Here is a 14,078-nt window from a genome sequence, read left to right as displayed (position 1 = left end):
CTTGGGTGGCTGAGGCAGGATGATAGCTTGAACCTGGGAGGCGAAGGTTGCAGTGAGCCGAGATCGCACCATTGCACTCCAGCCTGGGCAACAGCGAAACTCTGTCTCAAAAAAAAAAAAAAAAAAGACGTACGTCATCGAGGAGTCTGTATGCTTCTGAAGAACTTCTACAAATGCAAAAATATTACCTATTTATCTTCTTTCTCAAGCATGTGGTATTTAAATATAGAGTAAGAGGAAAAAGAAAACATACACACAAGTATAAGTAGTGGGCTTATTGAAGTAGAAAAATAAAATCAAGGAAGAAGGTTGCTGACATCAAATATAGATAATTGAATAATAGTCATATTTATTTACAAGCAAGTCAACCTCATAGTGAACACAGGGATAATTTAAATGTTTTTGATATTGCTTGGAGTATGCCTAACTAGGGTATTAGATGTTGATTGTACTTTGGGCTTTATTACCCAATTAGCTTCTAATAATAGGAAGGAAATTGTTTTGTTCTTCAAGTCAAGACCTTTCTCACTTTGATTTCTCAAAATGAAAGAATAACTGGCCTGACATAGGATTTTGACTAGGAAATATTTATACAGTAAATCCTGACTTAATGTCATTGATATAGGTTCTTGGAAACTGTGACTTTAAGTGAAATGACATACAGCAGGTCCTTGAATAACATTGGTTAGTTAAACATCATGTCATTATAAGGTTGATTAGAAAAAATTGATTTTGTTATACATAATTTTGCTTAAAATCACAGTTTCCAAGAACAACAATGTTAAGTGAGGACTTACTGTAATTTATGTCTTTGGTAATCTTAAGTATTATATAAGAAATAAAAAGTATTTTTGAGAGAACCTAATTGGTTGCTGTTATTTTCTAAAACACAAGCCTTAGCTTCATCACAAAAAAGAAACCTAAGTTAAGAAAGGTGTGTAAGGTTTCAGATCTCATTTTCATGTATGTATCCATTTAGGCCTTCTCAACACATCCAGAAAAGGTATGGAAAGCTAATTCAAGAGTATAGGTTGTTTTAATGTTTGTAGAAAGCCCGGTGTTAACCAGTATAGATTTACTCTTGCAGATACTTCGGTTTACATCCTTTCTAGAGATGGATACCAAGTTCTTTTCAATTATATGGAAACTGCCATTTATCAGTTATTTTCCTGTATTTCATATTTGAGTCACAAAACAGTACTGTGAGTCATAGATGTTCTTTTTCTTTTATTTCTTTTTTTATTTTTTGAGATGGAGTTTCACTCTGTCAACCAGGCTAGAGTGCAGTGGCACAATCTCAGCTCACTGCACCCTCCATCTCCAGGTTCAAGTGATTCTCCTACCTCAGCCTCCTAAGTAGCTGGGACTACATGTGCATGCCACCATGCCTGGCTAATTTTTATATTTTTAGTAGAGAAGGGGTTTTACCATGTTGGCCAAGCTGGTCTTGAACTCCTGACCTCAAGTGATCTGCCCGCCTCGGCCTGTAATCCCTTTGGGATTCCAAAGTGGTGGGATTACAGGCATGAGCCACTGCGCCCAGCCTTTTTCTCATATTTCATATTCATAAGTGCTTTCCTGAAATTAGCTAAAATTTGTGCTTATTCCATTATAACTTGATTAAAACTTTTTTAGTCCTGAGTAGATGCACTTCTGTCTTCCTTCCCTTCTTTGCCCATTGGGAAATTTCTCAAAAGTCTTCCTTCATAATAATTCAATATTTATTTATGTTTGTTACTAGTATTTATTTGCAGATAACCTTTGGGAATATTAGACGTATTAGTTATTCATATGTTGGTACTGTCCTTAGATTTTTGGAGAGAGCTTTCTTGCCTTCAACATCTAGCTGAGTTTTGTCCCACTGAGAGAATGGGAAACTTGACTGAAATGATGGGAGAGAATGGATTAATTTTGGAACATGGGGCATTATGGGACATGGTAGGACTGGGACAGGCCTGATAGAGGCTCCTTTATGTAATGTAAGCATAGCATGAGGTTGTAAGGAGACAATAGATAGGAAGGTGCAGACTGGTGAGATGAGAAAGTATTAAAAACAACCTTTGAAGTGATGAGATGAGAAAGCATTAAAAACAACCTTTGCTTTGCCCTTAGGAATAATGTGTATTATTTAAAAGGTGTAAGCACTCATTATAATTTGTTGATGATAGTTTAAGTATATGGGGTATGCCCATTAGCCATTTTCTGTTAAAAAAAAAAAAAAAGTGGATTTTTCGGCCTGGTGTGGTGGCTCACGCCTGAAATCCCAGTACTTTGGGAGGCTGAGGTGGGTGGATCACCTGAGGTCAGGAGTTCAAGACCAGCCTGACCATCATGGAGAAACCCCGTATCTACTAAAAATACAAAATTAGCCGGGCATGGTGGTGCATACCTATAATCCCAGCTGTTCGGGAGGCTGAGGCAGGAGAATTGCTTGAATGCAGGAGGCGGAGGTTGCAGTGAGCCAAGATAGCGCCGTTGCATTCCAGCCTGGGCAATAAGAGTGAAACTCTGTCTCAAAAAAAAAAAAAAAGTGGATTTTTTTCTCTCTGGCTCTTTGGGTTAACCTAATGTTTTGTATTTTAAATTGTGTTACTGTGAACTCCAGTTTTACCATGGGATTAAAAGCTAATGTAAATACTTTTTAGTCTTCACTATTTTATTTAACAAACATTTATTGAACATCTTAAGTGTGTCTTAAAATTGTATTAGGCACTAGGGAAACTAGGGAACACATATGTGGTTCCTACCTTCAACAGCTTGTAATCTCTTGGGGGAAGGCAGATTTGCAGTAAATAGATGTTAGAATTGATAAATAGGCGCTATGGTAGACATATATGAAATTGATGGAAACCCAAAGGAAGAATAATTGATAAGTTCTTTTCAGGAGTACTAGGGTAGGGTCATGGGTCAGGAACAGCTTTATAGAGGAATCACTCTGGACTTCAGGCTTGGAAGATCACTAGATGAGTTTGCCATAGAATTATAGGAACATGCTGTGGCAGAACTAATTGTATGAGCATAGAGAGGTATAAGGAAGCATGTCTGCACTTAGGGAACTGCAGGGAGTTCAGTATGACTGTGGGAATACAGTTTGGCAAAGAAAGCAAGGATGAGATCATTGAAGACCTTTTTTTGTTTTGTTTTGTTTTCTTTGAGACAGAGTCTCACTCAGTTGCCAAGCTAGAGTGCAGTGGCGCGATCCCGCCTCACTGCAAACTCTGCCTCCCATGTTCAAGCGCCCCACCTTCTATTGTAGACAGTAGAATGCCAAGCAAAGGAGTGAAATTGTTGTTGCATTTCAGAGAAATCATTCTACTCTGATTGGCATATTGAAAAGTAGGTTGTGGCTGGCTGCGGTGGCTCACGCCTGTAATCCCAGCACTTTGGGAGGCCGAGGCGGGCGGTTCACAAGGTCAGGAGATTGAGACCATCCTGGCTAACATGGTGAAACCCCGTCTCTAGTAAAAATACAAAAAAATCAGCCAGGCGTAGTGGCAGGTGCCTGTAGTCCCAGCTACTTGGGAGGCTGAGGCAGGAGAATGGCATGAACTCAAGGGGCGGAGCTTGCAGTAAGCGGTGATGGCACCACTGCACTTCAGCCTGGGCAACAGAGCAAGACTCTGTCTCAAAAAAAAAAAAAAGTAGATTTCTGGGATTCAGAACTGCAGGCAGTGAGACTGTTAATAAACTGTTGCCTTAGCACAGGTTTGAAGAAGTAAGGGTTTGAACCTGAGGCACTGAATATGGAAAGCTTAGATCTCAGTAAATTAACAGGACTTCATAAATGTTTGGGTGTGAGGAATGAGAGAAAGGAAGGCATTTAGGATGATTCTGAGGTTTCTAATGACATGATTTTGAGAAGTTGGATCTGTTCACCAAAAATGGCAGTATGAGAAAATAAGCACATTCGACATAAATGGGTTGAGGAAAAATGGACTTATGGTTATATTGAGTTTGAGTGCATATGGGACACCAGAGTAAAGATGTTTGGTTGATAGTAGTTTATAACATGACACAAGCCTAGGGGAGAGATCTGAGTTGTAGATCAACTTTTAAGTTATCAGGTTAAGTTTAAGGTTTAGGTGTTACCAACATATGTTACCCAGTTAGGTCTTTTGGAGAAAAAGAGATGTATATTAAGTTACCTGGTAAATTTACTCTCTCATTTATTGCTTTTTTGTTGTTGTTGTTGTTGAGATGGAGTCTTGCTGTGTCACTCAGGCTGGAGTGCAGTGGCGCGATGTCTGCTCACTGCAACCTCCACCTCCTGGATTCAAGCAATTCTCCTGCCTCAGCCTCCCGAGTAGCTGGGATTACAGGCTTCTGCCACCATGCCTGGCTAATTTTTGTATTTTTAGTAGAGACGGGGTTTCACCATGTTGGCCAGGCTGGTCTCAAACTCTTGACCTCAGGTTATCCACCCCCTCTCAAAGTAATCTGGGATTACAGGCGTGAGCCACCGTGCCTGGCATTTATTGCTTTCTTTGGAAAACATTTAAGTATATATTTGTTCCCGATTTTATTCTAAGCCTGATGAATGTAAAGATGTGGTATAAAATGTGGTCTTTGCTGTTAAGGAGCAGATTGAAGGAGATAAATACATAAAATAATTTCAATATGCTAAGGTAAGTAGTGATAGTAATAACTGGAGGAAGCTATGGGAATAGAGAAGTGTAATTATCTTAGCCTAGAAGTGCAGGAGAAGACTTTTCGGTAAAGACAGGCTTTTGTTTTTGTTTTTAAGAGACGGTCTCACTTTGTTGCCCAGGCTAGAGAGCAGCAGTGCAGTCATAACTTACAGCATCCTCGAACTCCTGGGCTGAAGTGATTCTGCTACCTTAGCCTGCCTCCCTAGTAGCTAGGACTATAGTCACATGCCATCATGCCTGGCTAATTTTTTCTTTAACTTTTTGTAGTGATGGGGTCTCTCTATATTGCCCAGGCTGGTCTTGAACTCCTGGCCTCAAACAACCATCCCCACTGGGCCTCCCAAAGTGTTGGGATTATAGGCATGAGCCAACATGCCTGGCTGATAACAGCTATTTATTCTAGAAGGATGAATGGATTTTAGCCAGGAAAAGATGGGTGGAAAAAGTATTCTGGGGAAGAAGGAGCATCATTAGCTAAGGCATGAATAGCCGAATAAACCCAAAGTGTGAGAGAGTTACCTAGAAGGTTGGCATTTTAAGAGACTTAAGTGTACAGCAGGAATGGTAGGAGATGAGGCTCATGGAAAGTGTTATAGGTAAGGATGGTTGGAAAACCACTGAAAGGGGTTTTAGTTGGGAGTGACAGAGAACATATGACTGAGGCAACCTTGAAAGGTACCTGTTGGACATAGTGGTGGTGGGATGGAATTCAGGCAGAGGACACCATTTGAGCAAAAGCCTAGAGGTATGAAATGGCAGATCTTTACAGGGGATTTACAATGTTCCTTTACAATTGGAGTGTGGAATGCAAGGAAGGGCATGCAGAGAGATGAGAGTGGTAGGCAGGAGCCAAATCATGGAGGCTTTTGTGTGCCATGCTGAAGAGCTTGAGCTTTATCTTTGTCATGATCACTCTGGCACTATGTAGAAGATGGATTAGAGCCAGTAGGCCTGATGAGAGATGAAGCCCTGACCTAAAGTTAAAGTGGCAGAAAGGATGGAGAAATTAAAATTAAGGCATTAAAACAGAAGTTCTCGGCCGGGTGTGGTGGCTCATGCCTGTAATCCCAGCACTTTGGGAGGCTGAGGCGGGCGGATCACGAAGTCAGGAGATCGAGACCATCTTGGCTAACACGGTGAAACCCCGTCTCTATTAAAAATAAAAAAAAATAGCCGGGCGTGGTGGCGGGTGCCTGTACTCCCAGCTACTCGGGAGGCTGAGGCAGGAGAATAGCGTGAACCCGGGAGGTGGAGCTTTCAGTGAGCCGAGATTGCACCACTGCACTCCAGCCTGGGCGACAGAGCGAGACTCCATCTCAAAAACAAAAAACAAAACAAACAAAAAAAACAGAAGTTCTCATCCTTGGCTATACAAATACACCAAGATCACCCGTGGAGCTTCTTAAAAATACAACCAACTACGTCACATTACTGGAGATCCTGCTTCACTAAGTTGGAGTATGGATGTAGGCAACCTATTTTGCTTTGTATTTTTGTTTTTTACGTTAACATACAGTAAATTTGACTTTCTTTTTTACTGTACAATTCCATGAATTTTAACACACATGAAGATTTGTGTAACTTCTATCACAGTTGGGATACAGAATAGTTTTAGCACCCCCAAACCCCCCCCCATACTTATAGTCACACCATTTCTCACATACCTAACCCCTGGCAACCACTGATCTGTTCTCTGTCGTTTTAAGAATGTCATAAATGTGGAATGATACAGAATGGAGGCTTTTGAGACTGGCTTCTTTCACTCAGCATGCATTTAGGGTTTATCCAAGTTGTTGTATGTATTAGTAGTCTTGTTTCTTTTTTTGTTTGATTTTTTTTTTGAGATGGAATCTCACTCTATTGCCCAGGCTGAAGTGCGGTGGTGCGATCTGCTTATTGCAACCTCTTCCTGGGTTCAAGCAATTCTCCTGCCTCAGCCTCCCGAGTAGCTGGATTACAGGCGCCTGCCACCACGCCTGGCTAATTTTTGTATTTTTAGTAGAGACGGGGTTTCACCATGTTGGCCAGGCTGACCTGGCCTCGAGCTCCTGACCTCAGGTAATCCACCTGCCTCAGCCTCCCAAAGTGCTGGGATTATAGGCGTGAGCCACCACGCCTGACTGTCTGTTTCTTTTTTACTGCTGAGTGTATGGATGTCGTATAGTTTGTTTAACACTCATTGAAGGGCATTTGAGTTGTTTCCAGTTTTGGCAGTATGGTTAGAGCTGCTATAAATATTCATGTACAGATTTTTACATAAACTTAAGTTTTCATGTTTGTCTAGGGTAGATACCCAGGAGTGGGACTGCTGGGTCATATGGTAAGTATATGTTTAACTTCATGAGAAACTTACAAACTGTTTTCTAAAGTGGCTGTGCTATTGTGCATTTCTACCAACGGTGTATTTGCGTTCTTGTTGCTCCATATCCTTACCGACTCTTGGGAGTGTCAGTATTTTTAAAATTTAACCATGTTAATAGGTGTGTAGCATTAAATCATTATGGTTTTTCATTTGCATTTTCTTAATGGCTAATTATGTTGAGCACTTTTTTTTTTTTTTTTTTTTTTTTTTTGAGATAGCGTTTTGCTCTTTCACCCAGTCTGGAGTGCAGTGGTGCGATCTCGGCTCACTGCAACCTCCGCCACCCCAGGTTCAAGCGATTCTCTTGCCTCAGCCTCCCAAGTAGCTGGGATTATAGGCACCGGCCACACCAGGCCCAGCTAATTTTTGTATTTTTAGTAGAGACAGGGTTTCGCTCTGTTGGCCAGGCTGGTCTCGAAATCCTGACCTCAGGTGATCCACCCGCCTCGGCCTCCCAAAGTGCTAGGATTACAGGTGTGAGCCACTGTGCCCGGTCTGAGCATCTTTTTTTATGTTTATTTGCCATGTGCATATCCTCTTTGGTGAATGTCTAAGTCTTTTGCCCATTAAAAAATTTCGTTGTTTTTTTACTGTTGAGTTTTAAGAGTTTTTAAAGTATATATTCTAGATACAAGTCTTTGCCAGATAAACAATTTGCAAATATTTTCTGTAGCTTACCTTTTATTCTCTTAACATTGTCTTTCACAGAGCAATCATTTTAATCTTGATAAATCCATTTTATTTTTTCTTTTATGTCACATGCTTTTGGTATTTTATCTAAGAACTCTGCCGAATCCAAACTCACAGAGAGTTTCTCCTATGTTTTCCGAAAGTTTGATAGTTTTTTGTTCTAACATTTAGATCTGTCATCCATTTAAGTTAATTTTTGTATAAGGTGGGAGTTTTAGGTCAAGAGTTTTTTTTTTTTTTTTGCAAATGGGTGTCTAATTCCAACACTATTTGTTGAAAAGATTATCCTTTCTCCATTGAATTGCACTTGTACTTTTGTCAAAAATTAATCATCTATAGTTCTGTGGGTCTGTGTCTGGACTCTATTCCATTGATCTGTGTTTCTGTCTTTAACACTACATTGTTTTGATTATTATAATTTAAAATTCTTAAAATTGGAGATAGGGATTTCTCCCAAGTTATTCTTCTTTATTAGAATTGTTTTGTCTATCCTAGTTACATTGCCTTTCCTAACAAATGTTAGAATCTGTTTATGTGCAGAAAATCCTGCTAGAATTTTGATTGGCAGTGGATTAAATCTGCAGATAATTTTGGGGAAATCTTTATTGTTTTTATACTTTCAGTCAATGAACTTGATATATTTATTGTTTTTTAGTTCTTTGATCTTTTTATCAGCATTTCTTTCAGTATATATTTTATATGTGTTTTGTTAAGTTCATACTTAAGAATTTTATTTTGTGGTGAGCTATTGTGAATTTTTTTTTGTTTTTGTTCTGTTTTGAGACAGGGTCTCGTTCTGTTGCTCAGGCAGTGGCATGAGCCTAGCTCACTGCAGCTATCACCTTGTGAGCTCAAGTGATCCTCCTGCCTTGGCCTCCCAAGTAGCTGGGACTACATGCATGCACCACCCTGCCTAATTTTTAAACTTTTTTGTAGAGATGGCGGTCTCACTGTATTGCTCAAGCTGGTCTTGAATTCCTGAACTCAAGCCATCTTTTTGCCTCAGCTTCCCAAAGTGCTGGGATTACAGGTGAACCATTGCACCTGGCTGTAGATAGTATTTTTTTAAAATTTTGGGTTTCCAGTTGTTCATTGCTAGTATATAGAAATGTGATTGATTTTTGCATGTTGCAGCCTTGCTAAATTCATTTATGAGTTCTTAGAGTTTTTTTCTTCTTCAAGATTTCTTGGGATTTTTTACTTAAATAATCATGTAATCTGTGAATAAGAACTGTTGTATTTCTCTCTAACCTATATACCTTTATTTACTTATTTACACTGTCTGGGATGTTCAGTACAAAGTTGAGTAGAAATGATGAGAGGGTTTCCTCACCCAACCAGCTCTTGGTTTTGTGTAGCTACTGTTTATCATTCTCCTCTATTGCTAGGTTACTGAGTTTTTAAAATCATGAATGGATGCTGAATTTTGTCAAATGATTTTTCTGTATCAATTGAAATGATCATGTGATTTTTTTCTTCTTTAGCCTTTTTTTTTTTTTTTTTTTCTTGAGACGGAGTCTGGCTCTGCTGCCTAGGCTGGAATGCAGTGGCACCATCTCGGCTCACTGCAAGCTGCGGCTCCCGGGTTCACGCCATTCTCCTGCATCAGCCTCCCGAGTAGCTGGGACTATAGGCGCCCGCCACCACGCCCAGCTAATTTTTTGTATTTTTAGTAGAGATGGGGTTTCACCGTGTTAGCCAGGATGGTCTCGATCTCCTGACCTCGTGATCCACCCACCTCAGCCTCCCAAAGTGCTGGAATTACAGGTGTGAGCCACCGCGCCTGGCCTGTTTAGCCTATTTCTATGGTAGATTACAGGGGTTGACTTTTTTTTTTTTTTTTTTTGAGACAGAGTCTTGCTCTGTCACCCAGGCTGGAGTACAGTGGCACAATCGCAGTTCACTGCAAGCTCTGTTTCCCTGGTTCAAGCAATTCTTGTGCCTCAGCCTCCCGAGTAGCTGGGACTACAGGCAAGTGCCACCGTGCCTGGCTAATTTTTATATTTTTAATAGTTTCACCATGTTGGGCTGGTCTCGAACTCCCGACCTCAGGTGATCCACCTGCTTCAGCCTCCCAAAGTGCTGGGATTACAGGTGTAAGCCACCGCTCCCAACCTTTTTTTTTTTTTTTTTTTAAATATTAGTTCTGTGTCTTTAGAATAAACCCCAGTGGGTCATGGTATTTAATTCTTTTTATACCTTGCTGGATTCTAGTTAGTATTTGATGATTTTTGCGTCTATATTCATGAGTGATATTTGTCTGCATTTTTCTATACTGCCTTTGTTCAGTGCAGTTCTGATGCTAACTACATCATAATTTGGTTCTGGAGTTGAGTCGTATTTCACAGGTTAAAGGCATAGTCCTTGGCAAAACTGTTTTCACTTCAGATACCAGCTAATGCTTGAGAGTTTCCAGACCACAAGCACTTCTGACCAACTGGCTACAAATTCAGGGGTTCCTGTTATCTCCTCCGGTTACGTAGAGCAACTCACAGAACTCAGGAAAGTGCTATTTCAGGATTGTGGTTTTGTTATAAAGGACACAAATTAGGATGATTCAAAAGAAGAGAACTATAGGATGAGTTTGGAAGGGCCTCAGACGCAAAGCTTTTGTGTCGTCAGAATGCTTTACCCTCTCAGCTCATTGATGTGTATCACTAACCAGGAAAGCTTACCCAAGCTTTGGGTGTCCAGGGTTTTTGTTGGGGTGTTATTACACAGGAATTATTGAGTGAGTCATTGGTCACATGATTGAATCTGAACTGCAGCCCCCTCCCCTCCTTGGAGGTGGGGCTGAGATCATGTGGTTCAAAGCCCAAACTTTACTCACATAGTTGGTCTTTCACTAATCCCTATCCTGAAACTGTCCAAGGGGTTCATCATGAATAATAAAGATGCTCCTGTCAGGAAGTGTCAAGGGTTTAGAGGCTCCCTCCCTGAACCAGGGACAAAGACCAACCAGATTCTTAATTATACAACAGTTCAGGCTGAGGATGGTGGCCCATGCCTGTAATCGCAGCATTTTGGGAGGTCGAGGAGGGCAGATCACTTGAGCCCAGGAGTTCAAGACCAGCCTGAGCAACATGGCAAAACCCTGTCTCTACAAAAAATACAAAAATTAGCTGGGTATGGTGGCACATACCTGTGTCCTAGCTACTTGGGAGGCTGAGGTGGGAGGATCATGGAGCCTGGGGAGGTTTAGGCTGCAGTGAGCTGTGATTGCGCCACTGCACTCCAGCCTGGGCAACAGAGTGGACCCCGTCTCAGAAAAAAAAAAAAATTATACAACAGTCCAGTTTTGTTATCAAGATAATATTGGCCTCTTGAAAGCAACTGAGATGTGTTTTATCCCCTAATATTTTCTAGAGGAGATTGTACAGGATTGTTATAAATTCTTTTATAAACGTGGTAGAATTCTCAGGTGAAACCATCTGGTCCAAGATATTTCATTTTTGGTAGTTTTTAAACTATGAATTCAATGTCTTTAATAGTTATAGGACTATTCAAATGATCTATTTCATATTGGAAGAATTGTGGTAGCTTGTGCTTCTTGAGGAATTGGTCTATTCATCTCAGTTCTCAGGTCTTTGTATGTAGAATTGTTTGCACCTAGTCCCTCTTAATGTCTGCGGTGTTTGTAGTGATACCCTGCTTTATTTTTTCTTTCCTCTTGTTGGAGTTTCAATTTTATTGATCTTATCAAACAATCAGCTTTTTAAATTGATTTTTCCTATTTTTCTATTTTCAGTTTTGTTGATTTCTGCTCTTGTATTTATTATTTTTCCTTTTTTTTCTGCTTGCTTTGGGTTTATTCTGTGCTGCTTTTCCTAGTTTCTTAAGGTGGGAGCTTAGATTTGGGACTTTTTTCTAATGAAGTATTAAGTGCTGTAAGTCTCCCTTTAAGCTGTATCCCATACAATTTTAGCTGTATCCCATAAAATTTGTTATATTTTTATTTTTATTGAGTTCCATGTATTTTTTAAAAATTTCCCTTAAGACTTCCTCTGACCCATGGATTATTTAGAAGTGTGTTGTTTAATTTCCAAGTGTTTGGAAATATTAGTTTTTCTCCATGATTCCTATTTTTATTTCATTTTGGTAGAGAACACACTCTGGGCTGCTCTGCCTGTGGAGTAACCATTCTTTTATTCCTTACTTTCTTAATAAACTTGCTTTCACTTTACTCGGAAAAAAAGAACACACTCTGTATGATCTCAGTTCTTCTAACTTTGTTGAGATTTGTTTTATGGCCCAAAATATGGACTGTCTTGGTGAATGTTCCATGGACATTTTAAAATAATGTGTGTCTGTTACTGAGTGGAGTATTCTATAAATTTATACCCTGCCGATTGATGGTGGTGTTCAGTTCTGTATCCTTAGTGATTTTTTTTGTCTAGTAGTTGTATTGTTGTAAGAGGGATGTTTACTTCTTCAGCTAAAATAGCAGATTTGTCTGTTTCTCCTTTTAGTTCTATCCATTTCAATTTCATGTTATTTTGAAGCTCTTTGTTATATACACATTTAGGATTACTATGTATTCTTGATGTATTTGACCCTTCTATCATTGTGTAATGTCTTTTGTTCTGGTCATTTTTTGTTTTCAGTTCTACTTTATCTGATATTAATACAGCCACGCCTGCTTTCTTTTGATATCTTTTTCCATCTGTTTACTTTCATCCTACTATATCATATAGGTGTGTGGGTATGTGTGTTTTCTTTTTCTTAAGAGACAGGGTCTTGCTCTGTCACCTAGGTTGGAGTGCAGTGGTGTGATCACAGCTTGCTCAAGGAGTCCTCCTGACTCAGCCTCCTGAGTAGCTGACACTACAGGCACATGCCACCATGCCCACCCAGCTAATTTTTAAATTTTTTTATAGAGTTGGGGTCCTGCTACGTTGCCCCGACTGCTTTTGAACTCCTGGGCTCAAAGATTTTGGGATCATGGAGGACAGGAGGCCAGATTAGATTGCAGCTCCGGACAGAGCAGCATGTGGAGGCTTGCATTGTGAGTTTTAGCTCCAGATCGACTGCAAGAACAAACCAGCAATCCTGAGAGGACCCACAGACCCTCTGAAGGAAGTGGACTGCTTTGCAGGACCCGGGAGATTTCCACCCACCCTGGCCCCCAAATACTGTGAGTGCCCCAACTGCAGAAGTGGGAAAGGGAGACCCTCCTCTCCCAAACACACACCCCCGCTGGAGAAGCTGAAGGTCTGTTTGCGGGAGAAGTTTCTGACTTTACCTGGAGCTGAGTCAAGTTAGTTGAGCCAAGCGAAATACAGGGGTAGAGGAAGCAGCAGAAAGGCCCTGGGAGCTTGCTGGGTCCCCAAGCAGCCCATTCCTGCCTGGCATCACAGGGATCCATCAGGAGGTTGGCTAGAGGAGCAGGGGGGTAAAACTCCACAGGGAGAAGGAATTCTCTAGCTGAATTTTGTAGCAATTTGAATGAGAAGCCTCCTAGTCAGAACTCAGGGGAGGACTTGAATCCATCTGCGGCTTGTAGACTTCACAGTTAGGGAAAGAACTAAAGTCCTTTTCTTTCACAGCTGGGAGGCGGAAAGCCTCAGGCAAGTTTTCAAGCTCCTTTTGCGCTTCACCTGGAAACAGACTTGGGGCTGTTGCAGGGGGCAAGGTGGGAGTGAGACTGACCCTTCAGTTTTCATGGGAGCTGGGTGAGACCTGTGACTGCTGGCTTTCCCCCACTTCGCTGACAACCTGGATGACTCAGCAGAGGCAGCCATAATCCTCCTAGATACACAACTCCAGTGACCTGGGAATCTCACTCCTGTCCCCCACAGCAGCCACAGCAAGACCCACCCAAGAAGAGTCTGAGCTCAGACCCACCTAGCCCTGCCTCCACCTGATGGTCCTTCCCTACCCACCCTGATAGTGTAAAACAAAGGGTGAGGTGTATAATCTTGGGAGTTCTAGGGCCCTGTCTACTGCAGGTCCCTCTCCACACTACTACAGCTGATGCTTTCTGGAAAGCACCACTCCTGGCAGGAGGCCAACCAGCACAAAAATAGAGCGTTAAACCATCAAAGCTAAGAATTTCACGGAGTCCATTGCACCCTCCGCCACCTCTACCAGAACTGGCACTGGTATCCATGGCTGATCACAGAACTTTGTTCAGACAAGCCTCAGTACCAAGCCTGGAGCTGGGTAGACTCGCTGGGTGGCTAGACCCAGAAGAGAGACAACAATCACTGCAGTTCGGCTCACAGGAAGCCACATCCATGGGAAAAGGGGGAGAGTACTGCATCAAGGGAACACCCTGTGGGACAGAAAAATCTGAACAACAGCCTTCAGCCCTAGACCTTTCTTCTGACCGAGGCTACCCAAATGAGAAGGAACCAGAAAACCAACCCTGGTAATAT

The 14,078-nt window shown here is 41.3% G+C and overlaps 1 protein-coding gene across 17 annotated transcripts in view; it reads left to right on the top strand.

Moving 5' to 3' along the window:
- ARFGEF1 (ARF guanine nucleotide exchange factor 1) overlaps nt 1-14,078 on the top strand; it is a 170,271-nt gene that overhangs the window by 16,336 nt on the left and 139,857 nt on the right. For 2 of the 17 annotated variants that reach the window (XM_047421266.1, NM_001413193.1), the window contains exon 2: nt 6,934-6,969. The exons of the other annotated variants lie outside the window; for them this stretch is intronic. The gene's annotated coding sequence lies outside the window, so the exon portion shown is untranslated. The remainder of the gene's footprint in view (nt 1-6,933; nt 6,970-14,078) is intronic. 17 annotated transcript variants of the gene reach the window in all.

The sequence above is a fragment of the Homo sapiens genome, chromosome 8 (assembly GCF_000001405.40).
Source record: "Homo sapiens chromosome 8, GRCh38.p14 Primary Assembly".
Lineage (NCBI taxonomy): Eukaryota > Metazoa > Chordata > Mammalia > Primates > Hominidae > Homo > Homo sapiens.
This window is presented reverse-complemented; position numbering and strand designations above follow the sequence as displayed.